The 27,445-nt window shown below is 37.7% G+C and overlaps 1 protein-coding gene and 1 long non-coding RNA gene across 28 annotated transcripts in view, besides 1 other annotated feature; one reads left to right on the plus strand and one right to left on the minus strand.

Moving 5' to 3' along the window:
- The window catches only part of NARS2 (asparaginyl-tRNA synthetase 2, mitochondrial), a 138,897-nt gene that overhangs the window by 34,811 nt on the left and 76,641 nt on the right, over nucleotides 1-27,445 (minus strand). For 18 of the 26 annotated variants that reach the window (NR_189154.1, NR_189157.1, NM_001425314.1 and 15 more), the window contains 3 exons: nucleotides 22,285-22,417; nucleotides 7,807-7,905; nucleotides 7,660-7,697 (listed from right to left, as the gene is read on the minus strand). The exons of 1 other annotated variant lie outside the window; for it this stretch is intronic. Coding sequence is in view for 21 of the 25 variants with exons in the window: in NM_001425314.1 (NP_001412243.1) it covers nucleotides 7,660-7,697; nucleotides 7,807-7,905; nucleotides 22,285-22,417 (270 nt within the window). In the remaining 4 variants the exon portion in view is untranslated. Of the gene's footprint in view, nucleotides 1-7,659; nucleotides 7,711-7,806; nucleotides 7,906-22,284; nucleotides 22,418-27,445 lie in introns of those variants that run through there. 7 more of the 26 variants (NR_189156.1, NM_001425306.1, NM_001425301.1 and 4 more) reach the window with 4 other exon arrangements.
- LOC105369403 (uncharacterized) lies at nucleotides 111-26,813 on the plus strand. 2 transcript variants are annotated; one of them, XR_007062797.1, is made up of 3 exons: nucleotides 111-2,518; nucleotides 4,052-4,099; nucleotides 26,158-26,813. It is a non-coding gene; the product is annotated as an uncharacterized LOC105369403 (long non-coding RNA). The 2 variants fall into 2 exon arrangements; XR_007062798.1 differs by lacking the exon at nucleotides 4,052-4,099.
- Nucleotides 2,265-2,559: an enhancer, noted in NCBI's record as "tiled region #10369; HepG2 Activating DNase matched - State 5:Enh". NCBI's record gives its function as "activates a minimal TATA promoter and a strong SV40 promoter by Sharpr-MPRA in HepG2 cells {active_cell/tissue: HepG2}" and the evidence as "EXISTENCE:reporter gene assay evidence [ECO:0000049][PMID:27701403]".

A 27,445-nucleotide genomic window follows, 5' to 3' on the forward strand; every position in this document is an offset into this window, starting at 1 on the left:
GCCAAAGATATTGCCCCCTTTTATATCAATTTATACCCACCAGTAACATGAAAGTGTCAGGTTGCTTGTAAATTACAGGTAAAATACTGCATCAGTATTTTGGATTTTTTTTTTTTTTTTTTTTACAAAAAAATCTACAAACTTCCTGAAAGACCTTGAGCTCAAAAAATAATTTATCCAGCACAAACTTGTTCTCTGAAGCAAAAATGAAGTTCATATCCATAACAACTAACCAGAAAGAGTTGTATTGTGTCATACAGTACAATAAAGCCCCTAAAGCTATGTTTTGAAAGACAGGTTTTTTCCTAAGAATCTATTCAAATTAAAATCTAGTAATAACAATAGGTAATTTCTAAGGTAATAATGGTGGTGGCAGTGGTGTTGGTAGTAGCAGTAATAACGATTTTAAAATTAGCATTTTACAGAAGGGAAGCAGAAGGTTAGAGAGGATCAATAACTTTCCAAAGGTTACTCATGTAAGTAAATAGTAAATCTTGATCTGCTGACTCCAGAGTATAAGCTTTTAACGGCTAAGATAATGACTGAAACACTTAGAGTTTCATATGTTCCATCAAAACAAAAGAAAATGGGCTCAACTGATTCTACCACTTCATCTGATTCTACTACTAGCTATGTAAGTCACTTCAACGTAGTGAAAGCATGTTATTAATTTTTGTAATGTATTATACAAACATTTAAAAATTAAGTATTTGCACTTGTAAAATAAGGAGATTGAACTATCTTTTTTTTTCTTTTTTTTCTTTTATTATTATACTTTAAGTTTTAGGGTACATGTGCACATTGTGCAGGTTAGTTACATATGTATACATGTGCCATGCTGGTGCGCTGCACCCACTAACTCGTCATCTAGCATTACGTACATCTCCCAATGCTATCCCTCCCCCCTCCCCCCACCCCACCACAGTCCCCAGAGTGTGATGTTCCCCTTCCTGTGTCCATGTGATCTCATTGTTCAATTCCCACCTATGAGTGAGAATATGCGGTGTTTGGTTTTTTGTTCTTGCGATAGTTTACTGAGAATGATGATTTCCAATTTCATCCACGTCCCTACAAAGGACATGAACTCATCATTTTTTATGGCTGCATAGTATTCCATGGTGTATATGTGCCACATAAAGTTCTTTTCTGCTTAGGCATTCTATTGTTCTATTATATCAATTACTTGGTATCATCTACCAATCACACTGAGAAATATGAGAGCAGTCAAAATAATAAGCAGTAAGATTTTGTACCATTGGTATGTTACTGTTTCATTATTAAGAAATGACTCTCATGTCTAAATATCTCCTGTTATTCCACGTCTTCCACTCCACTCCCCAATACCTTCATTAGAGGCAGAACTTTCAAGTTCAAATTACAGTTCTGACATTTGATATCCTTAATGGCTTCCATCAACTCTATTAAGTATTTTTCTTGATATGTATAGAAAATAATATCTCTTCTCCTTTCCAGAAACTGTTTCCAAAGTACTTTGAGGAAAGGAGGAAAAAACACTGTGGTAGAGAATGATACAGCATCAAACTACCTTCATATTCCACATTTTTCATTGCTGAATAAAGAAAATTCATTATTCTGAAGCTGTTAAGAGTAAAATTGCTCAACTACAAAGATAATTATTGTCATCCTTCGCCTCAAATTCACACACAAAGATAAATGAAGAGCAAATAAAAAAGGTAAGTACTCTACATTTTCAGAACCATAATAATATAAAGGAAATGTAAAATAAACTGAATACAATTTCTGCATAAAGGCTAAATTCCATTACTACACGAGTTGCTGAAACAGCACATTTTCATATAAAATAATTGTAACAGGTAGTGAAAAATACACTGAAATCTACTCAAAAGAATACAAGTCACATGGTATCTATACAGATTCAATAACTAACAGTGCAGTCTGCATAAAGGACAACAGTTTCTCTTTCGCCATCTCCCTGTTTTTTCTTTTCTCTTTACTGTTTTTAGGATTAACTCAATAGTAGATTCAGCTACACCAGTATTTTCAGAAGTTTCAGTGCCAATGCCTTAAAAGGCATGTAACAGCAGAAAGGTGATGCCAAAGTGGTAGAGAGGGCACCACCACACAATCTATTTCTCAACTTGATACCTCTGATGTTGATGACTTAATAATCACTGTCATCAGACCAGCACCATCTCATTATGCTTTCAGTGGCTACCCCGCACATTTTAACATGCATATCTGACTTAACAGTCTAAAGCAGCCGGGTGTGGTGGCCTGCACCAGTTGTCTCAGTTACTCGGGAGGCTGAGGCAGGAGGATTGCTTGAGCCCAGGAGTTCAAGGCTGCAGTGAGCTATGATCACACCACTGCCCTCCAGCCTGGAAAACACAGCAAGGTCCTGTCTCTTAAAAACAAAAAGTCTAAAGTTCACCAGTTTCTCTCTCTTCCTTTCAAACAACAAAAGGACTAACATTTCAACTATCAACGTGCCTCTCCAGTTTTACAAGTTATTGCTGCCCAGTATTTCAGTTCTAAGGTAACAGGTATTTTCTTTCAACTATGTGAAGATACTATTTTATCAATCTATTGTCATTACTGTTCTTTGAACTTCTTGGGAATCTAATGCTGTTTGTTATGTCTGCTGTTCTTGCTCATGGTAGGTATTTCCCTGTGTATTTGGAGTGTGAGATTATCTTCAGTAGAGTTTGTTTTGAGAATATCATGCCACTTGGGTTGAGGGTACAAACTTCAAGTTTGGTTTTATATTGATTTCTATAGCTACTCCAGCATTATCACCAACTGAAGACAATTTTTTATTTTAATGCCCTGGCATGAAGATTCTTGAACTACACAGGAAACATAAATTCAAACTCTAGGCTCACTTAAGGGCCAACTGTGGCTGCAAATTCTCAATGAAGACTATTTCTGTTTTGTCTCTATCCTTAAGCCCAGGCTAAAGCAGATATACTTCTACACTTCTTTGTAAATTCTCTATGCTGGCTAGCTCAATTTTCTGTTTGTTTGCTTATTTTCTAATTGGCCCTTTCATTAAGGGTGTAGTCCTTGACCAGTTCTAGCTTTGTGTGTATATCTGTGCATGCATTTCAGGGGATATCTTGATTCTAATTCATTCTGCTACGTCTATTCTCATGTCATCTCATTGCTGTTAAAATCTCTGGTTTCAAAAACTGGAAAATCGCCCTCCAGCTTCCCTACCCTACACCCTGAGAATCCTCAGCATCACACCAACTGTCCATATCACTCTGGTGTTTGGTTCCTTCTTCATTTCTAGCACCTGGAACTTCTCCTACTTTCTAGTGAATTCAACAACGTATTTAAAAGAATCTTATAATATTTTAAGTATTATTTTTAGATGTTTTGCAGAAAGAGTGTTTTCAAATTACCTAGTCTGACATATTGCTTTTAACAGTATTGTCATTAAATCCTTTCAACAATATAAGGCAGAGTATTTTTTTATAGATGAGGAAACTGAAGTTCAGAAAAGTTAAAGATTCACTATTAATCAAGTTCATAGTCGTAATTACATTATTCATATAAATATTTAACTGTTCATCTTTTTCTCTAGATTTTCAACTCCATAAAAAAATAAATCAATGTTTGTTTTCATTATTCTCAAGAACTAGCAAAGTGCCTAACTCATATTAGGCAGTCAATAAATATTTGTTAAAAAATAATAATTTACTCATTAATGGCTAGTAAATGGTAGGGCCAGGATTAGAATCCAGGTTTTCTGAATCATGGTTCACTACCCTCAGTGACTGAAATAAATAGTGATATTAGCCAATAAGAAACCTCAGGAGAGGATCCAGCCTAAAGAATACCTTTACAGCCACAGTTACTCAAGTCACTTGTTTGTCCACTCAATTACTCAGTATTTACTGAGTTCCTGTTAAAGGCACTGGGCTAAGTCCTGGGGGTATAAGAGTAAGCAATTTAAACATAGCCTCTGACATCACAGAGGTAGTAGATACCAATCAAATAATCACACATATACATTTATTTAAAAATGTCTGAATTTTTAATTGACAAATATTTTATGTATTTACAGGATACAATGTGTTTTTGGTATTATACACTGTGGGATGAATATATCAAGGTAATTAACATATCTATCGTCTCACATGCTTCACTTTTTTTTTTGCAGTGAGAAGATTTAAAATCTACTCCTTTAGCAATTTTGAGATATACATTACAATTAATTATGGTCACTTTGTTATGCAATAAATCCTGAACACTTATTCCTCTGGTCTAACTGAAACTTTGTACCCCTTGGACAATTTCTTTCCATTCCCTTCAAGAACCCCTCACCGGCCACTGGTAACTACCATTCTACTCACTACTTCTGTAGTGTTAACTTTATTACATTTCACATCAAAGTGAATCATGCAGTATTTGTCTTTCTGTGCCTAGCTTCTTTCACTTAGCATTAAGTCTTCCAGGTTGATCCATGCTGTCACAAATAAGATTTCCTTTGAATAGTATTCCACTGTGTATATATATACACATTTACTTTATCCAGTCACCTACTGATGGACACTTAGGTTGATTCCATATCTTGGCTACTATGAATAGTGCTGCAAAGAACATGTAAGTGCAGATATCTCTTTGACATACTGACTTCAGTTCTGCATATGTACCCAGAGGTAGGATGGCTGAATCATATGGTAAATATACTTTTGGTTTTTTGAGAAACCTCCCATACTATCCTCCATAATAGCTCTACTAATTTACATTGCCACTAACAGTTATAAAAGGGTTCCCAAGCGCCACATCTTTGCCAACACCTGTTATCATTTGACTTTTTTTTTTTTTTTTTTTTTTTTTTTTTTGAGACAAGGTCTTGCTCTGTCTCCCAGGCTGGAGTGCAGCAGCGTCTGTGATCATAGCTCACTGAAAACTCAACCTCCTGGGCTTAGGCAATCCTCCCACCTTAGTCTCCTGAGTAGCTGGCACTACAGGCACATGTCACCACACCTGACTAATTTATTTATTTATTTTTTGTAGAGACAGGGTCTCACTAAGTTGGCCAGGGTGGTCCTGAACTCCTGGGTTCAAGTGATCCTCCCACCTCAGCCTCCCAAAGTGCTGAGACTACAGGCATGAGCCAACGTGTCTCATTCTACTTTTTGATAACAGCCATTCTAACAGGTGTGAGTGGTTATCTCAGTGCGGTTTTAATTTGCATTTTATTGATTAGTGATGTTGGACACTTTTTGATAAACCTATTGGCCATCTGTATCTTACACAAATGTAAAACATTTGTGATGTCTGCCTGCCTGAGCAAAGCATGGGGGTGGATGCTGAGGCTAGGTGGGGTGGCTGCCCTGTAGGGGCTCAAACCAGATAGACTTTCCTACTGAGCTTCTGCAGCAACCAGCTAGGCTTTGTAAATGGGCTATGCCACTGGCTGGTATCTCTGATCAGGTGCTACTGCTGGCAGGAACACAGCTATGACTAAGATCCGTGTACTGGTTGCTGTGAGCACTGCCCCACTCCTTTGTTCCTACTTGACCCCTGGTAGTCTAGGCCTTACCCCCAGGGTTCCCTGTGAGACAGGAATGGGCCTCCTAGGAAGCATCACAGAATGCTGGGGAAACTGGATAGCTGTCTCTTTTTCCACTGCATTAACTGTGTGCCAAGGGGAATCTTCTGTGTGTGGTATTGTGCCTACTTAGGGAAGGGAGGATTCAGTCAAACTGAGACCATTGCTCCTACCCTTCTAATGCACTTTTTGCTCTGTGGTCCATCTGCGTGTCTCAATTTCATTCCCAAATTTTGGGATTTTCAAAAAGGTGTTCTTGTATGTGACTAGTTGCCAAATGGACTTTCTGTGGTGAAGGCTGGGACCCTCTATTCATCATCTTGCTGATGTCCCTCTCCCCACAAATTTAAACTGCAACTATGATTTGTAGTATGCAGAATGGATTATGACAATGACAATGATTGAAATGGCGCAGCCCAAGAGGACATTTTCCAACCTTAACATTTTATGGACAAGGACTCCAAAGCACAAGAGTTAAGTGACATGTAAGAGTCGTAATGATAGTGGGGCAGCTACAACCACTCTACCCTTAATTCCAGTACCCTCCCAAATATATGAAAATCTCAGGTTAAAAGTCTGAGCTTTGAAATCAGATGAACATGAGCTTGAATCACCATTTCATCTTTTACTCAACCTCTTTGCAGGGATTCTCCATCTGTAGAATGAGAATAATAACTACTTGGAGTTGTGAAGATAAAATGAGCTACTGATGTATGTAAATTTTATCACTGTCTGGGTAAATATTCAACAAATGGTGAATATTATTTCTGCATTTTGAATCTTTTCATTAGATAGGAGCTGGAAAACTAAGATCCTTCCCTGGTTGTTTTGTCACCAGCAGAGATTCCTTGAGAAGGCCAAATTACTTCTTTCTTCATCTACTTAATGACCACTTTTATCAATATACTCATGCCCAAGACTGTCTTATAAAACTCCAGACCCACACTTTCAGTTGCCTATCCAACATCTATGGCTGGATATCTGAAAAGCATCTCAATCTTAACATGTCTGTGTTCCCGATACCACCCCTTCCTCTCAAAGCTCCTGCCCCAATACTCTCTTAAGCATTTCCCAATTTCAGTTAATAGCAACTTCATTTTTGCAGCTGTAGGAGAAAAAAAACCTTGAAGTCACCCTTAACTCCTCTCTCTCACCCTCAGTAAATCCTGTTTGTTCTATCTCTAAAATATATTCGGAATAGGAGAACTCTTGCCACCATCCTGGTCTGTGATGGTTAATTTTGTGTCAACTTGGCTGCGCCATGGTCTCCAGATATTTGGTCAAATAGTATTCTGAATGCTTCTAAGAAGGTGTTTTTTGGATGAAATTAATGTCTAAATCAGTGGACTTTGAAAAAAGCAGATCATATTACCCTTCATAATGTGGGTGGGCTAAATCCAATCAGTTGAAGATTTTGCTAAGACAGAGACTAATCTCCTCCTGAGAAAGAAGGAATTCTGCCAGCAGACTGCCTTTGGACTTGAATGGCAACTCTTCCTTGACTCTCCAGCTTGTCCACCTACCCCGAGACTTTAAATGCAACAAGCATCTACAATTACGTGAGCCAATTCTTTAGAATAATCTCTCAATCTCTCTCTCTATCTCCACACACACACCCCGCCCTCAAACGTGGTTGGTCGTGTTTCTCTGGAGAACTCTAATACACAGTCCAAATCATCATTAACTCTCACGCAGATCACTGTGGTAATCTCTTAGTTTTCTGTTCCTGAATTCTTGTCTTGTTGTAACCTACACTGAGCATGGTTTTTACAGTTTTTTAAATCAAGCCAAATTTTGATGACTAAAGTTAGTATAAGTTTGAATTATAGTTACATAGTTAATAGTTACTAGATTTTATCTTGCTATGATTTATTAATTTATTGATGAAACACTGATTATCAACTATGAACCAAACACAAGAGCTATAAAAATAATTAGAACATGGGTCTTGCCTGGAATCTGGGGAGTGTCTATATATAGACATATAATATGTCTATATATATATCCTATATATATAGGATCTATATAAGCAGATATAAATTTAAAAAATTATAATATAGTGTGATAAATACAGTGATAATGAATAAAGTTCAAAAAGTATAACATCTACTTACATTAAAAAGTTGTTTTTTAGCATATGTTCTAATCTGTCCTTAATAAAAAGACAAAAAAGAAAATTTTAAAAATATAATTTTATTCATTATGTATAATTAACACATTAAACAGTAGATGTATTGGGCTTTATCCATAAAACTAATTACCTTTTGGCCAGGTGCTATGAATTTGTGACAGAGTTCAACATCTTCAGGACATTTTGAGAGAACCATCATTGTTGTAGCCTTGAACAGTTCCTCTATAACCTAAGAGAAATGAAATAGAATCACCTGACACGTAAGCAATTTTACATGAAAAACCTGTTCAGGACTCAATAAGGACCGCATTCCAGGCTTTAGCAACTATAAATCCACCAAGTCTTTTAATCCTTGAATGTACCATGGAAAATTGGTTCAGTTTTCCAGGCATCTCAATTTCCTTGGTGGGTGGCAGGGAGGAAGAAAAAAGGAAATGTTTTAATCTTATGTTGACAGTTTCAATGCTGGTAAAGAAGTGAGATGTCAAATGAACAGCTGTAACTCATCAATGCCTCTCTAAATTTCAATAAACTCACTGGTAGAATCAGGGTAATAATAGCACCTAACTTACAGGATGTTTGAGAGAATTAAATGAGATAAACCATGTGTCACACTTAGCTTAGTACTGGCTCAGAGAAACACACAACAAACATCAGTTGTTGTGAACTGTAAGAACATTTTGAAAAGTGGTTCATTCGCTCATTGGTAAATGAAAGTCAACTTTAAAATTACAGAAATGATGATATATCTAAATATAAATATATACATTTTTGCTTTGCTAATGGCCAAAATAAAAATAACATAAAACAGCATACAGCAAAAATCAGTATATAAGAACTTATTCTCAAGACCAGCCTAGGCAACATGGCAAAACTCTGTCTCTACAAAAATAAAAAGAAAAATTAGCTGGGCATAGTGGTGTGTGCACCTGTAGTCCCAGATCCTCAGGAGGCTGAGTTGGGAGGATCACTTGAGCCTGCGAGGTTGAGGCTACAGTGAGCCATGATCACGCCACTGCAACTCCAGCCTAGGTGACAGAGTGAGATCCTGTCTCAAAAAACAACAAAAAAAAGTATTCTACCATGGGTGCCCATAGGAGACTCATAATAGAAGCTTGTTCTTAGAAGGAAAAAAGTGACTGGAATGAAAAATATTTCTAAAATGTTTTTATTCACAACTAACATTCTTGGTTTTAAATCAACAAGACAATATTACGTCTTCTAAATGGTGTATTCATAAAGGTGCACATATGTATAAAGTAGAGGCTGCCTTAAAGGCAGGTATCTTCTCTTCCTCTGTTGCATACCAGTAGATCCTCTTGAGGCTGGAAGCATAGTGAAGGCGTAACTGTCTATTGAAGTACATTAATATAACCAGATATAGGAAAACACTTAAATACCAGTGACAACCAGATCTATTTCATGATGTTTCAGTCATTGTTAGTGTTATTTATTTATTTATGAGACAAGGTCTTGCTCTGTCACCCAGGTTGGAGGGCAGTGGTATAATCACAGCTCACTGCTGCCTTGATCTCCTGGGATCAAGCGATCCTCCTGCCTCAGCCAACTGAGTAACTGGGACCACAGGCATGCATCACCACACCCAGCTAATTTTTTTGATATTTAGTAGAGATTAGGTCTCGCTATATTGCCCAGACTGGTCTCGAACTCCTAAGCTCAAGCGATCCTCCCTTCTCAGCCTCCCATAGTACGAGGATTATAGGCATGAGCCACTGCACCTGGCCTAGTGGCATTTGCTCTAGACATCTTGCTAAGCTATACTGCATTCCTGGTTTATTTTCTTACATTTTATTTATTTATTGTTTTTTTAGACGGAGTCTTGCTCTCTCACGCAGGCAGTGGTGCAATGGCTCACTGTAGCCTCTGCCTCCTGGGTTCAAGCAATTGTCCTGCCTCAGCCTCCTTAGCAGCTGTGATTACAGGTGTGTGTCACCACGCCTAGATAATTTTTCTATTTTCAGTGGAGATGGGGTTTCACCATGTTGGCCAGGCTGGTCTTGAACTCTTGACCTCAGGTGATCTGCCCACCTTGGCCTCTTAAAGTGTGGGGATTATAGGTGTGAGCCACTGCGCCCAGCCTATTTTCTTACATTCTATTACTATGGTCATTTATTTTTCCAACCAACATGTATATCTAATTAAGTAAAAAAAAAAAAAAATTGGTGAGCATGTGGCTATTTAAGGCACTGATCACATAAAATAGTAATGACAACTAATTTGGGGGGGGTGGGAAAAAAGAATCAAAAGACTAGATAATAGTAAAGATAAATCTGAAGGGAATAAGCAGAATTAAAGTAAACTTTCTAAGGATCTTGTATCCTAAAAAGGGGAGAAATGTTTAACTTTCTTTTTTTTTTTTCTAAGACAGAGTCTTGCTCTGTCACCCAGAATGGAGTGCAGTGGTGCCATCTCAGCCCACTGCAGCCGCCATCTCCCAGGTTCAAGCAATTCTCCTACCTCAGCCTCCTGAGTAGCTGGGATTACAGGGGTGTAGCACCACACCCAGGTAATGTTTGTAATTTTTTTGTAGAGACAGGATTTCACCATGTTGGCCAGGCTGGTCTCTAACTCCTGGCCTCAAGTGATCCACCTGCCTCAGTCTCCCAAAGTGCCAGGATTACAGGCATGAGCCACCACACCTGGCCTAACTTTTTATTTCATGTAAAAAATATAAGGTAAACCACTAAAATAATAAAAACAGAATGTATAGATTCTAAACTATTGGAGGAAAAGAAAGGAAAATAAAGAAAACCACATGAATCCAATGGGGAGGGTGAGAGGGGTATAGGGGTAAGGAATAACTTGATGAAAGGAGAACAACAGGAAGCTAAAGATCCTTCACCTTGAGCCTGTATCACCTTCAATTCAGCAGTGAGATAAATAAATTACTAAGTAACATAATGATTTATGCAGGCTCATATGCCTCAATCACTTAAACAAAGCTAATACACATTGGGAGGAATAAAGAGCAGGTGGATTAGATGATATGCCTGCACTGTTGAGGGACACAGTACACCCATTTGTAAGATGAAGACTTTGACCACTGGGGTTGTTAAATCATTGTCTTTCCTGAGAAGTACATTTCCAGCAGAATAAGAAAATCTCTGGCTGCCCTAATCTTGACATTCACAATATACTCCACAAATAAGTTGAAAAAAACCCAGAAACCTAACAGAAGGGTTAGCGTAACTCAGATGTCTTAAAAATGTTAGTTAGTTGTACTATAACAGCAATACCTAATTGCTTATAGCTCATAAGGGGAAAATATTCTTTGTTAGAACATTCTGATTTAAGAGACCACTCTGTATAAAGATGCTAATTTCCAAGGAAAGTAATTTGTAAAAGGAAGAAAATTAAGAGACGCAGATTACTTTTGGGGACAGCACACTTTTTTCTAGTCTTCAGGAAAAAAGTGTATATCACAATTAACTAAATCATTCAAGAACGGTATATACCCTGACTACCACCAGCGGAGTACCAAATAAATAAGAACTGGAGTAGCAAATCATGACACCAAAACATGAATATTCTTAAGTGTCAATTTATTATTAGTTTCATGAAGATCAACACTAAGACTCATGAAATTAGTCAGAAACCTTTGTGTGTAATTATGTAATGAACTATCCAAGCTGGGACACTTTTGAGAGTCAAAAGAAATATTAATAATTAAACCACTTTATTTCTCTAGCTGTCCAAGATGAAATAAATTGACTACAACCTATCTCTCTAAACAATTATAACTTAAAAATATGGTCAGACACAGCTAAAGCAGTGTTAAGAGGGAAGTTTATAGCACTAAATGCCCACATCAGAAAGCAGGAAAGATCTCAAATTGACACCCTAACATCACAATTAAAAGAACTAGAGAAGCAAGAGCAAACAAATTCAAAAGCTAGCAGAAGACAAGAAATAACTAAGATCAGAGCAGAACTGAAGGAAATAGAGACACAAAAAACCCTTGAAAAAAATCAATGAATCCAGGAGCTGGTTTTTTGAAAAGATTAACAAATAGGCCGCTAGCTAGACTAATAAAGAAGAAAAGAGAGAAGAATCAAATAGACACAATAAAAAATGATAAAGGGATATCACCACAGATCCCATAGAAATACAAACTACCATCAGAGAAAAGCATAAACACCTCTACGCAAATGAACGAGAAAATCTAGAAGAAATGGATAAATTCCTGGACATATACGCCCTCCCAAGACTAAACCAGGAAGAAGTCCAATCCCTGAATAGACCAATAACAAGTTCTGAAGTTGAGACAGTAATCAATAGCCTACCAACCAAAAAAGCCCAGGACCAGACAGATTCACAGCCAAATTCTACCAGAGGTACAAAGAGGAGCTAGAACCATTCCTTCTAAAATTATTCCAAACAACAGAAAAAGAGGGAGTCCTGTAACCCATTTTATGAAGCCAGCATCATCCTGATGCCAAAACCTGGCAGAGACACAACAAAAAAAGAAAATTTCAGGCCAATATCCCTGATGAACATCAATACGAAAATCCTTAATATAATACTGGCAAACCAAATCCAGCAGCACATCAAAAAGCTTATCCACCACGATCAAGTCAGCTTCATCCCTGGGATGCAAGGCGGGTTCAACATACACAAATCAATAAACTTAATCCATCACATAAACAGAACCAATGACAAAAACCACATGATTACCTCAACAGACGCAGAAAAGGCCTTTGACAAAATTCAACAGCCCTTCATGCTGAAAACTCTCAATAAACTAGGTATTGATGAAACATATCTCAAAATAATAAGAGCTATTTATGACAAACCCACAGCCAGTATCATACTGAATGGGCAAAGCTGGAAGCATTCCATTTGAAAACTGGCACAAGACAAGGATGCCCTCTCTCACCACTCCTATTCAACATAGTGTTGGAAGTTCTCGCCAGGGCAATCAGGCAAAAGAAATAAATAAAGGGTATTCAAATAGGAAGAGAGGAAGTCAAATTGTCTCTGTTTACAGATGACATGATTGTATATTTAGAAAACCACATCGTCTCAGCCCAAAAACTCCTTAAGCTGATAAGCAACTTCAGCAAAGTCTCAGGATACAAAATCAATGTGCAAAAATCACAAGCTTTCCTATACACCAGTAATAGACAAGCAGAGAGCCAAATCATGAGTCAACTCCCATTCACAACTGCTACAAAGAGAATAAAATACTTAGGAGTACAACCTACAAGGGATGTGAAGGACCTCTTCAAGGAGAACTACAAACCACTGCTCAAGGAAATAAGAGAGGACACAAACAAATGGAAAAAAAAATTCCATGCTCATGGACAGGAAGAATCAATATCGTGAAAATGGCCATGCTGCCCAAAGTAATTTATAGATTCAATGCTATTCCCATCAAGCTACCACTGACTTTCTTCAGAATTAGAAAAAACTACATTAAATTTCATATGGAACCAAAAGAGAGCCTGTATAGCCAAGATAATCCTAAGCAAAAAGAACAAAGCTGGAGACATCACACTACCTGATTTCAAACTATACTACAAGGCTACAGTAATCAAAACAACATGGTACTGTTACCAAAACAGATATGTGGACCCATGGAACAAAACAGAGACCTCAGAAATAACACCACACATCTACAACCATTTGATTTTTGACAAACCTGACAAAAACAAGAAATGGGGAAAGGATTCTCTATCTAATAAATGGTACTGGGAAAACTGGCTGGTCATATGCAGAAAACAGAAACTGGACCCCTTCCTTACACCTTATATAAAAACTAACTCAAGATGGATTAAAGACTTAAATGTAAAACCCAAAACCATAAAAACCCTAGAAAAAAACGTAGGCAATACCATTCAGGACACAGGCATAGGCAAAGACTTCATGACTAAAACATCAAAAGCAACTGCAACAAAAGCCAAAATTGACAAATGGAATCTAATTAAACTAAAGAGCTTCTCACAGCAAAAGAAACTACCACCAGAGTAAAGAGGCAACCTACAGAATGGGAGAAAATTTTTGCAATCTACCCGTCTGACAAAGGGCTAGTATCCAGAATCTACAAGGAACTTAAACAAATTTACAAGAAAAAAACAAACAACCTCATCAAAAAGTGGGTGAAGGATATGAACAGACACTTCTTAAAAATTTATGCAGCCAACAAACATACGAAAAAAAGGTCATCATCACTGGTCATTAGAAAAATGCAAATAAAAACCACAATGAGATACCATCTTATATCAGTTAGAATGGCAATTATTAAGAAGTCAGGAAACAACAGATGCTAGCAAGGCTGTGGAGAAACAGGAATGCTTTTACACTGTTGGTGGGAGTGTCAATTAGTTCAACCACTGCGAAGACAGTGTGGCAATTTCTCAAGAATCTAGAACCAGAAAAGCATTTGACCCAGCAATCCCATTACGGGGTATGTACCCAAAGGATTTTAAATCATTCTACTTTATAAAGACACATGCACACATGTTTATTGCAGTACTATTTACAACAGCAAAGACTTGGAACCAATCCAAATGCCCATCAGTGATAGACTGGATACTGTGATAGACTGGATACTGTATGCACCATGGAATACCATGCAGCCATAAAAAGAATGAGTTCGTGTCCTTTGCAGGGACATGGATGAAGCTGGAAGCCATCATTCTAGGCAAACTAACAAAGGAACAGAAAACCAAACACTGCGTGTTTTCACTCACAAGTGGGAGTTGAACAATGAGAACACATGGACACAGGGAGGGGAACATCACACACTGGGGCCTATTGGGGGATGGGGGACAAGGGGAGGGAGAGCATTAGGACAAATACCTAATGCATGTGGGGCTTAAAACCTAGATGATGGGTTGATAGGTGCGGCAAACCACCATGGCACATGTATACCTATGTAACAAACCTGGACGTTCTGCACATGTATCCCAGAACTTAAAGTAAAAAAAAACAAAAAAAACTCTGGTCAGAATACAAAGAGCAACTACCTAAGGACTCAGAAAAATAAACAATGATAGGTGGAATGGGAACTAGTCAACTTGATTAATAACCTGAAATGGAGATGAATTTTAGTTCCATTTTTACCTCCTTTGTCTCCTGGTTTTGATTTGGGGATAAAACGTTGTTGATCTGTTTAGTAGGCATAGGAAGCAAAACTTCTAGAAGAAAGCTCCTACTACTAGTCTGGTAAAGTCCCTGTAGGATAGTGTTTTTAGGAAAATCCTTGGTTGTTTTGTCCCCCAGTCTTTTCTCTCTTCTGTTCCTAGCCAAAATGTAGCCCCAGTTGTGGAGTGGCACTGTCAGGGTGACAGTGGCACAAGCACCTAAAACACCAAGAGAAGACCTACTTCTCCAACAGAGGAACTGGGAAAGGCAGACTGCTGTTTTGAAGAGCGTGGATGTGGGTAATCTCTATTATTATTACTACTATTTTTTGAGACGGAGTCTTGCTCTTGTCGCCCAGGCTGGAGTGTAGTGGCACGATCTCGGCTCACTGCAATCTCCGCCTCCCAGGTTCAAGCGATTCTCATGCCTCAGCCTCCCAAGTAGCTCGGATTACAGGCACATGTCACCATGCCCAGCTAATTTTTGTATTTTTAGTAGAGACAGGGTTTCACCATGTTGGCCAGATTGGTCTTGAACTCCTGACCTCAGGTGATCTGCCCGCCTCGGCCTCCCAAAGTGCTGGGATTACAGGAGTGAGCCACTGCACCCAGCCTATTATTTTTTTTTAAATATTTTCTCTTGTCAGTTAGACCCAATGGTGGCCACAGTCACCTGGAAATGAATAACATGGTGGCAACTAAGACCTGGGAGAAATCTGTCTTTCTGGCCAGAGAAACCAAAATGGGGGGCCAGACAGTGTGAAGGAAATTCTGAAGAACAGGAGAAGGTGACCCTCTAATTGTGTATGAAGTAACATAAGGCTAGGGCTCACCTCCAAGAAATGTATATGTGAAACAGACCCAAAGAAGCACAGTGAATGCTTCTGACAATGAACTACAAATCACTGTGCAATTTCCAGACTATGAGTAGCACACGCATCAGAAAGACTCAAATAGCACAGCAGAGGCTTTGAAAACTTAACTGACATGGAGACCAATGCCAATAGAAAGTAAAATAAAACTTACAGTCTCAATCTAACCAGTCTAATAACTGGTAAAAACAACAACAAAAATAATTCCATTTCCAAAGGATTTTAACAGAACCCAGAGTGTCAGAACACAACATTAAAAACAGCCAGGATATACTTAAAAATTACCGGACATACAAAGAACCAGGAAAATCTTATGAATTCTCATGAGAAAAAATAACCAACAGACACATACACATAGAAGACTCAAATACTGGAATTATCTGACAATTTGATGCAGGTATTATAAACATCTTCCACAGGTAAAGGGAAACATTCTTAAAGAGAAAGACTGAACTTCTCAGTGGAGAAAAAGAAACTAAAAATAAATAAATAAAAATTTTAGAATTGGAAAATATGTGAAATAAAAATTTCACAGGATGGGCTCATTATCATAATGAAGACAAAAGAAGAAAGAATTAGTAAGTTTGAAGACAGTTCAGTTGAAATGCCCCCAATTCTGAATTACAGAAAGAAAAAATACTAGCCAGGCATGGTGGCTCACGCCTGTAATCCCAGCACTTTGGGAGTCTGAGGTGGGCGGATCACTTGAGGTCAGGAGTTTGAGACCAGCCCGGCCAACATGGTGAAACCCCGTCTCTGATAACAGTACAAAAATTAGTCAGGTATGGTGGCAGGTGCCTATAATCCCAGCTACTCAGGAGGCTGAGGCAGGAGAAATGCTTAAACCCAGGAGGTGGAGGGTACAGTGAGCTGAGATCATGCCACTGCACTCCAGCCTGGGCAACAGAGTGAGGCTCTGTCTAAAAAAAAAAAAAAAAGAAAGAAAGAAAAAGAGAGAGAGAGAGAAAGAAAGAAAGAAAGACAGACAGACAGACTCGTTAATAATAAGCAGAGCATCACAGCACCATGGGACAATATCAAAAGGTTTTACATTTGTGTTACTGGAGTACCAGAAGCAGAAAAGACAAAAAAGGGCACAGAAAAAAATACGTAAAGAAATAATGGCTGAAAACTCCCCCAAGTTGGCTAAAGACATATTCAAGGAGCTCACTAAATCACAAACAGGATAAACTCGAAGAAAATTATACCTAGACATATCATAATCCATGTGCTGAAAACCAAAGACAAAGAAAAAAATCTTGAAAGAAACCGAGAAAAATGACCCTTTACATTGGAAAAAACAATTCAAGACTGGATTTATTCTCAAACACTACAGAGGTCAAAAGATAGCAGACTATATTTAAAGTGCTGAAAGAAAAGAACTGTCAAGCCAAAATTCTATATCCTGTGGAAGCATCTTTCAGAAATGACAGTAAAATGAAAAAATTCTCAAGTGAAGAAAAACTAAGAACTGATTGCCAGCAGAAATGCTTTTAAATGTTAAAGGAAATTCTTTAGGCTGAAGCAAAGTGACCCCAGAAGGAAATCTGGAACTTGAGTAATGAAACAAGAACAACAGAAACAGTAATTTACTATTACTACCAAATGTAGGTAAATACAACAGATGTTTTTTTCTCTTCTGAAATTATTTAAAATATGTATGGTGATTGAGAGCAAAAATTCAAACATCACCAGAGGTTTTCAAGGTATGTGAATTGTGATTGGCAGAATAATATTTATCCCTCTGCCAAAGCTGTCCATGCTCCAATCCCAGAACCAGTGAGTGTGTTAGCCTACCTGGTAAAAAAAAAAAAAAAAAAACTGTGTATGTGTGATTAAGAATCTTTAAATGATGAGATTATTCTAGATTATGTGGGTGGGACTAATGTAATCACAAGGATCCTTTACGTGAAAGAGGGAGGCATGAGGGTGTTGAGAGTTAGAAAGATTTGAAGATGATACCTTGCTGGTTTTTAAGATCTGTGAGCCAAAGAATGCAGGCAGTCTCTAGAAAATGGAAGAGGCAAGGGACCTAATTCTCCCCTGAAGCCTCCAAGAGGAATGCAACTCTGCTGACACCTTTTAGCAGTGTTGGATTTCAGACCAGTAAAATCCACTTTGGACTTCTCACCTCCAGAAGTATACAATAATAAATTCGAGTTGTTTTAACCCACCAGGTTTGTGGTGACGTGTTATAGCAGCAATAGGAAATTAATACATAGAACTTGTAATGCATATGGCAACTATAAGATAAAGGGGTGAAGGTAAAGGGAAATACATAGTAGTAAGACTGTTGTTTTACTTGAAGTGTTAAAAAAGTAGAATACGGAACAGAATAGAGGATTCTGAAATAGATCCATATATATATGACCAACTGATTTTTGACAAAGACCCAAAAGCAATTCAATACATGAAGTTTAGCTAACAGCCTTTTCAACAAATGGTGCTGGAGCAAGAAGTTATCCAGAGGTAGAAAGGAAAGGGGAAAGAGAAGAGAGGAAAGGAAAGGAAGGGACAAGAACTTCTGTCTAACGTTACACAAAAATTAACTCAAAATGGATCATAGACTTACATGAAAAATGTAAAGCTAAAGCTATAAAACATCATAAAATCCTTGAGATCTAGGGCAAGGTAAAGAGTTCTTAGACTTGACACAAAAAGCATAATCCATGAAAGAAAAAATGATAAACTAGATGTCATCAAAATTAAGGGGATGAAAAGTCAAGCTACTTATTAGGAGAACACAGAAACCACACATCCAACAAGGAACTAGTAGCTAGAATATATAAAGAATTCTCTAAATTCAACAGTGAAAAAAACAAGCAAGCCATATGGAAAATGGGCAATAAAAATACATCTCACAGGAGATGACATATAGATGGCCAGTAAGTACATGAAAAGATGCTCAACATCAATAAGCATTAGGGAAATGCAAATTAAAACCACAAAGAGATACTAATACACAGCTCTTAGAATGGCTTAAAACCACCACATATGCCTGACAGTACTTGGTACTAATGAAGAACTAGAACAAGTAAAACTTCCATACATTGCTGGTAGGAATGCAAAATGGAACAGTCATTTTGGAAAACAGATTTCTTCCCTATAAAATGAAAGAAATTTTGTAATTTATATAAGGAACATAAGTAACCATGGACTTTGGTATCCATAATGGCAGGGAGTGGGGAGGGTCTGGAAACCAATCCCTTCTGGATACCAAAAGATAACTCCACTTAGGCGTAAATTTAACCAAGATCTGTATAATGAAGACTATAAAACATCACATCAAACACTGACCTAGTAATCCCACTCCTAGGAATTTACCCAAGAGAAATGAGTCTGGGTGGCTGCGGCTCACATGTGTAATCCCAACACTTTAGGAGGCTGAGAGGCAGGAGGATCACTTGGGCCCAGAAGTTTGAGACCAGCGTGGGTAACACAGTGAGATCCTGTTTCTATAAAAAATTTAAAAAATAGCACCTGTAGTCTTAGCTTCTTGGGAGGCTGAGGTGGGAGGATCACTTGAGCCCCAGGAGTTCATGGCTGAAGTGAGCTATGACTGCACCACTGCACTCCAGCCTAGGTGACAGAGTGAGACCCTGCCTCAAAAAACAAAAAACCAGAAATGAAACTTTACATTCATATAAAACCTGCACATAAATATTTACGGCAACTTTGTTCATTACTTTCAAAAGCAGAATAAACTAAATGTCCTTCAACTGGTGAAGGGATAAATCAAAACTGCTTCAGACACCTATTATGCAACTCTCAGGGAGTAACGTCACTGAAGCTACCTCCTTGCCCAGGCCCACCCCATCTAAAGCCACTGGACAAGTAACTGTTCTCCTGGGATAACTGATCTCTCTGGAGTAGTCCAACCCTTTTTAATCAGTTCCCAACTTATTTTGGAATATATCTGAGATAACACCAGCAAAGGTAGTACAAGGCAATGCTCTGAATAAAATGACTCTGTGTTTTCTTCTGGTTCACAGTATTCCTGGACATTAATCACCAAAGCTTAAGAAACTAGCCTAAAAATCCATCAGTCAGGGCATCTACAGATAAAAACAAAGTCAAGAAATGGAAGAAAAAGAGAAAATGAGGCTGGGCATGCTGGCTCATGCCTGTAATCCCAGCACTTTGGGACACTGAGGCAGGCGGATGGCTTGAGCTCAGGAGTTGAAGACCAACCTGGGCAACCCCGTTTCTACCAAAAAATTAGCTGGGCATGTGGTGTGTGCCTACAGACCCAGTTACTCAGGAGGCTGCAGTGAGCTGAGACTGCACCACCACACTCCACCCTGGCAGACAAGAGTGAGACCCTGTTTCAAAAAAAAAAGAATAAAGAAAAGAAAATGAAATAAAGAAATGACTAATTTTAAACCCTAAGTTTAGATTGAAATGCTCCGGTTTAGAGCAGAATAAAATAATTTCATGGCACTGTTGACTGAATGCAAAGGTGAAAATCTGTAACTGAATTCTGCTCACACTTACTAAAAAGGTATGTAGCTTAACCTATCTATTCCTCAATGTTTTTACTAATATAACTGAGAAAAATAAACGATATCTTGCAACCCTGTCATATGGTAAAATATAATTGTAGAACAAAGATTAATAAAGAATTAGGGGATGGGCTCAAGTGAAAGCTACTTAAGGAATGCCACTGACTCCTTCTGAAGCTCAGATCCTGAATCCCTACAGTCCAGAATATGGTTGTTCAACAGCAGCACTACTGATACTTTGGGCCAGCTAATTACCGGGGAGAAGGTGGCTGTGCACTTTAGGTTGTTGAACAGCACTTCTGCCTTTACCAACTACATGCTAGTAGTGACCACTCTCCCCCTTCCCTGCCCATTCCCTAATAGGGATAACCAAAAATGTCCCATGGGGACTGATCCAAAATGCTCAGCGGGAAGTGTAAAGGGAGCATGGAAGTGAAATGCTATATTGTGTGGCCGAATGCCCCTTCAGGGCCAAGTGCCCTATATGGGAATCCAGGAATATTACTAACTGCTGATGGTTTATAGTTGAGTGCTTCATCAGGAACTGTCGAGACCCAAAGGTACTGCCTTACTCAAGGTTATGCCCCTTCCAGTGGCTAATCACATCCAATGATTGGTTGATATGGGAAGGCACAAAGTGCTAACGCCTTGCTTTTAGATGGGACAACTGTTCCCATCTGGTTTAGGACCATTCCAGTTCCAAAGTTCTTCACAGAAGAAGCTAAGGCCTCTGTTTGTAAATGGATCACAGTTCACACTTCCCACTGTTCAATGTGACTTTCTTCCTTTCCTTATGAATACTGTTCTCAAGAGCACTCCCTAATAACGCCCCTGCCCACACATCTCTGCCTTAGAGAGTTTTGTTTACTAGGAAATCCAACTCAAGACAGGGTAATAAAATAATTAGTCTGTTCTATTTGTGATATATATGGTATTTATGTTTTAAGTGGAAATAGGTCATTTACTGGGTAAGAGTAGAAAGACATAGAAATGAACAGAAAGGAGAGTTGATGAAAATCACTAAAATAAACATCCCATAATTACAAATCCAAACTAAGATAGTAACCACAATGCTTCTGAATAGACAATTCATAATTTAACAGTTAACAATTCCTGGGTATTTACTAAGTGCCATAAATTATGCTAAGTACTTCATATATATATATATATATATACAGACACACACACACACACACACACATATATAGATTTTATCTACCTGATCTTCTCAAGTAGCCTATAAAGTAGGAATTTTTATTCCTATGTATTGGAATTTTGATGAAGACACTGAGGCCTAGAGACATTAAGTCCCTTGTCTAAGTTGGTCACATAGCATGTGAGTGGTTAAGCATCAAATCTTGGTCCATTCAATTCCACTTGTGTGCACTGTCTGGATTATGTCTACAGCCTCCTAACAAGGCCTCTCTACTTTTATCTACCTCTAAATCATTGTTCATATTGCTGCTAAAAAGATGTGCCTAAAATATAGCTCTGACCTTCATTTTCCAATTTAGAACTCTTGCTCCTTAAATTTTGGGTAAAGTTCAAACTCCTTACTATGGCACTGAAATACAAGGTCTTTCATGATCTGTTGCCTGACCATGACCATCTCTCCAGCCTTGTCCCCTGCTCAACTGAGCTGATAGCTCCTGTGGATGCTTTCTAATATAGCTACATAGGGGTTTATGTAAGTATTACAGACATTTATATAATTATAAAGATGTTTGGTATATTTTCCTAGCAAATCAGAGCTACTATTTAGTGAACCTGCTTGTGTTCCAGACCCCATGCTATATGCATTATATTATATATACAATTTCATTTACCCCTCACATAACCTTAGGAGTAAGCACAATTATTCTCATTTTAGAGTTGAGGAACCTAAAGATCATGAAAGTCAGGGAACTTCATAGCAAAGCTAATGGCAGAGCTGGGATATAAACTTAAATCTGTCTGACTCTTGTATTTTAAACTATTACAGTAAAGGCATTCAATAAGTGTTTATTAAGTAGTTACCCCTTCTTTTCACTTTATGAATACCTGTAACACATAAACGTCCGAGGTAAAAATATATACAGAAACATTTTAATGTCACAGATACCTGGTATTTTAAAACTTGTGTACCTACCTGCATAAGATCTTGAAGGCTGTCAACAAAAGAAATCTCTGCTTCTATCATATAAAACTCTGCCAGGTGCCTCCGGCTCTGAGAATTTTCAGCTCGGAAGGTCGGACCAAAGGTAAACACTTGAGTAAAAGCTCTGCAATTCAAGATTAAGAGAATGCAAATAGAATTCACATGATTAATTTTAAGTATTTAAATATTCAGTGAGCTCTTACGGAAAATAAAGTTTTGTGTGCCTCTGTCTTGTCCACAGACTGACACATATTTGCTGCTACATATTTCTCTAATAGGTGATAATAACAGTTTCATTAAAAATGTTACATTGAGGCTGGGCACAGTGGCTCAGGTCTGTAATCCTAGCACTTCCTGGGAGGACTGCTTAAACTTAGGAGTTCAAGACCAGCCTGGGAAACATGGTGAAAATTTATCTCTACAAAAAATCCTTTAAAATAGCTAGGTGTGATGGCCTGTGCCTATAGGTCCAGCTACTTGGGAGGCTGAGGCAGGAGGATCGTTTGAGTCCAGGAGGTGGAGGCCACAGTGAGCCATGTTCATGCCACTGCATTCTGGCCTGGGCGAGAGTGAGATCCTGTCTCAATAAATGAACAAACAAACAAAAAAAAAAAAGAAAAAAAAAAGTTACATTTATAGAAACCATTTTATCCTGAAGGAATCTGCAACTGCTTCACAAATCCTATGGTTTTACTAAATATAGAAACATAACCACTTCTGGGTGCACTCTACTGCAGCTGCCTTAAAACAGCAGGCAACTACATTTCACAGCAATCAAGAACAAAGTAAAGAAAAAAACACCGCAGCCCAAGAAACCCCACAGAAAATCTAGATAATAACAGTGAAAACTAGAATTTCATGTAGATAAGGTGTGTTCATTTATTTTTTAAACACAAGAAAAAAGAACGTCAGATACATATTGCAGTTCACCTTGTTCAAAGCCCACTCAAGTCCTTGACGACCACCTGTCTTTCAATCAATGGTGAATGACCCCTGAAATGTGGAGGTGAGAGATTTTGAGGAACTACTTTATTCCCTTGATTCCAGAGGACTATAGCTCAACCATCCAAATGGGGAGAAAAATCCCTTATTCTTAAACTCCTATAGTGAAGTGGACACTACATCCGTCATTCTTTAATACTTATTGTTTCCCTCACATTCAAACCAAGTAACAGCTGAGATTAGATCAAGCACATATGAAGTAATAAATATTTCTTGAGGACTTAATCTTTAAATGTTAAGGTTTTGTTAGAACAAAGCAAGCTGTTTGAGGCTCCTTAGCTATGATCCTTGATCCTGAGCACACCTAATCTGTCATTTAGCCAAATAATATTAAGATCAGAAAACTTAGTGTAGAAAATAGATGGATTTTGTATATATATAAGTTTTTTCTTTTTCTTTTTTTTTTTTTTTTTAGTAAAGATACTCTGGGAAAGGAAACATAAAGTAACTATGGTGAAAACCAAGAGATTTACTTCTCTCTCAATTGCCATTTCAGTAAGACCCAATTGGTAGAAGCTTAGGAAGTTATATTTTGGTTCTACAGCTACCTTCCTAAGACCATGATCTGCTAACCTGAGAACCTTAGTTTTTATTGAAAAAATAAACAGTAGGAACTCAAAAATATTACTATGGTTGCCTTTCTTCCAAGATTCAGCTACAGACTTGCCTACTAGAATGTTTTGAAAAAGACTAAACCTACCTTATGCAGAATGAAAATTTTGACCCTGTTCCCCAAAACAAACAAAAGACAAAATGAACAATCCTGCCTTTCTTTTTACATTTCCTCCAGCTCTGTTAATCTCAGTTAATCCACCAACTCAACCAAGACAGATCCCACATTCCCCAGCTTATTACATGGCCCTTATCATTTTGATCACAAAATTTAGTTGTTTACACCTTGGAAAACTCTGAAATCTCGCAGCTTTTCTCTATCTCCACAGCTATTGTCAGTGTAAACCTTTGTCTACTGCTTAGAAAATAACAGCTTTTTAACTGGTGTCTGGCACCTGTCTTCCTCCAGTCCCAAACTATAGGTTTCCAAACTCAAATCTGATTATGTCAGCCCTAATTTTAAAATCTTCAATGATTCCTTAGTACCAAAGAATAAAATTCTAACTCCTAATTTCAACTCAGTTCTTTCCCACACATCCTTTTATCCAGCCACTCTGAAGACCTTCTCCTTTCCTAGCGTGTCCCATGCATGTCCTTTAGTTTTTGCATAGGCTCTTCCCTACCCTGTATTGCCTCCTCCCCTGCTCCTCTACCCTCCAAATAGAAAATTCCCATTCATCCTTCAATACTTGGCTCAACTGTCACTTCCCCTTTGAATCCTTACCATTCCCCCAAGTTTATTGCTCCCTCTCGTATATTACTATAACACTTTTTCATATTTATTATATAGAACATATCACTTTGAAATGTAACTATCTAAGTTATTTTTCTCCCCCAGCGTTTTCCAGAACAGGAATCATGTTTTATTCATATTCGCATCTCTAGTGCCTAAGATAAAACAGGTGCTCATGCTGAATGAATGAGTACTAATGATGATGACAGGCTTCCTCAGTTGTAAACTAAAAAGCACATCCTCACAAACGGTAACATTACAAATATAGAAAAATACTCAGATATATGTCACTGACGCCCTCAGTACCTAAAAGGGGTCAAACAATCCAGGTCTGGCCCAAACAATAAATTCAACAATTACAAGGCCCTGAGTTTCCAATCTGTGACTGTGCCATCTCTAGGTAGGTTGGCAATAGTACAGTACATCTAAATAAGTAAAATGACATTTCTGGTACTTTATCACAAGAAATTGTGTGTATACTTATGGAGCACAGGATGCTCCAAGATGAGCAGCAATAGGGATTTTTAAATTTTGCAGTGGTTAATGATTTTCCCTGGCAATGCAGGGCAAGGTCTCTAGTATAAAATACAGAAGAGGCTCAATAATTTTTATTTCAATTATAGTAAGGATCAGGCTCTGACTGAGGTATCTGAGAGTTAAATATCATTTTGATAGAGTAAGAACTAATGACCACAGTGCTTCCTCTAAAGTAACAGAGTGATAAAATGAACTGGAAGGTATGTTGAAAAATTGCGTAAGAAAGCATCTAATCTTTAAGCAGATGAATGTTTAAATAATTCAATAATGATCACCCTATGTCAGTATCCAAAGATACTGTTCAGTATCAAGTGTTCTATTATAAGTAATAGTAGCAATAGTAGTAGTAGTACTAGTGGTTACCATTATGGAATGATCATTATGGGCCAAGCACTAAATGGACAAGAACCTTAGAGTTAATCCCTTCATAGTTAACTCAGTCTACGTATGTATTAATACACTTATCTTCCAGAATAAGAAACTGCAGTTCAGATGGGTTAAGAAGCTTTCCCAAAAGTCAAAGTCATAGCTTAGTAAATGGTGGAAGCCAAACTCAAATCCACATTTCTGACTCTAATGCTCATAGCCTTAACCATGATACTAACAACAATGATGCTCAAAACAACACTGCAAACTCAGAAAATTAGAAAGAAAAATTTTTAGTATATTCCCCCTTCTCAAAGATAACTAGGGGAAGCAGTTTGGCATATTATGAATAGCTTGTTTTACGTGTTAAAATACAGCTCTCTAGAATGTTATCTTCATGAAAATAATGAGAATGATATATTCTCGTCAATACTTTGTAATCTTTAGCAAGTTATTTAGCTTTTCTGGTCTTCAAATCCTTATAGGAGTAGGGGTTGGGGACAGCTTGGCATTGATCTCTACTGTCTTTTGCAATAATTTTGTCTCTAGCTGCATGTGGAATCACTTCTATTTTAATTTATGTTTCTTTCTTTCTTTTTTCCTATCTTCCACAGACATGAAAGCCATTTGCAGCAAAGACTGAACCAACCAACATTTAAATAAAATCTGAGAACAAGGCCATTTCTAAAATAAGATACAAAACCAGGTGAAAGGCCAGTATTGCTCTGAGAAGAGACCAGGAGAAAAAGAAAACACTCGGCACTAAGAATCATTCTTGTGCCAAACTATGAAGAGAGGAAAGCTATATAAGGAAAATCCATGAGCTTGGAGTTAATGTTTAGTATAACAAAAGTACATTCAATACACATCAACCTAGATAGCTACAAAAATGGCTCTTTGGAAAATAAAAAGCAAAATTGAAAAAAAAAAAAAAAAAAAAGGTTCTACAAAGTTCACTTTCTCCCGTGTATGGAGTTTTATGAAGCCCTCAAGATGGCAAATAGATTAATATAAAGTGGTCACTGATTGCCTGGCCATTTATTCTTTCTGGCCCTGAAATTTCACAGTGAATCTTAACATTTTGAAAGAACAGAGGAACTGCTATTCTTTAGTTTGGGAAGAACTTATTCAGCATAAGACTGATCAGCAACTTTCACTACACCCTTCCCAAACCACCCCCAACCTCCATATCACTTCTTTACTGTTAGTTTAGTAAAAGTTCATTGACCTTAAGTGAACTCCCAGAAAACTATTAAACTGGATTTTAAAAGTTTTTGCCAAGTGCTTTTCTCATCATTCAGGAAAATGAACATCTATTTTACTACTGTTTTGTGTTCACTGGATTGTCAATACTGTGATATATTTTGCATTCATTATTTCTACATGCCTAAAAGAGTAGACTCCAGATACCCCCTTTTCAGCTTTCCCCTATCTGTCCACCATGCAATACACTTGGTGGAAAGGGATTATAAAAGAGATGCAGCCTTCACCATTTCAACAATCATGTCATGTCAAGATGCCTTAGGGAGGGTGAATTCTAAATTCTAAAAATTCTTATCTTTATTGCCAAAAACTTGTGCCAAATAATTTCCTTTAACATGTTCTTAATATTTTTTTTGGAACTGAATTTGAGACCCAAGCAAAATTTAATCTAAATTATATGATGAAATTCCAAGTTTGACAGAGTCTGACAACAATCCTGCTAAAGGGGGAGGAAGGTTAGCTAACCATCTGAGGAGATGACATGTGAAAAGAACATTCTAGCAAAGCAAACACCAACACATAGGTCCCAAGGTAGGAAGGAGCCTGACATGTTTAAAGAATTTAAAGAACAGGTGTAGGCCAGTAGCAGGATCAATGATAAGAGATGGTGGAAAGGACCAGAACATGCAGGGCCTTCCT

This window comes from Homo sapiens, chromosome 11 (genome assembly GCF_000001405.40).
Source record: "Homo sapiens chromosome 11, GRCh38.p14 Primary Assembly".
Lineage (NCBI taxonomy): Eukaryota > Metazoa > Chordata > Mammalia > Primates > Hominidae > Homo > Homo sapiens.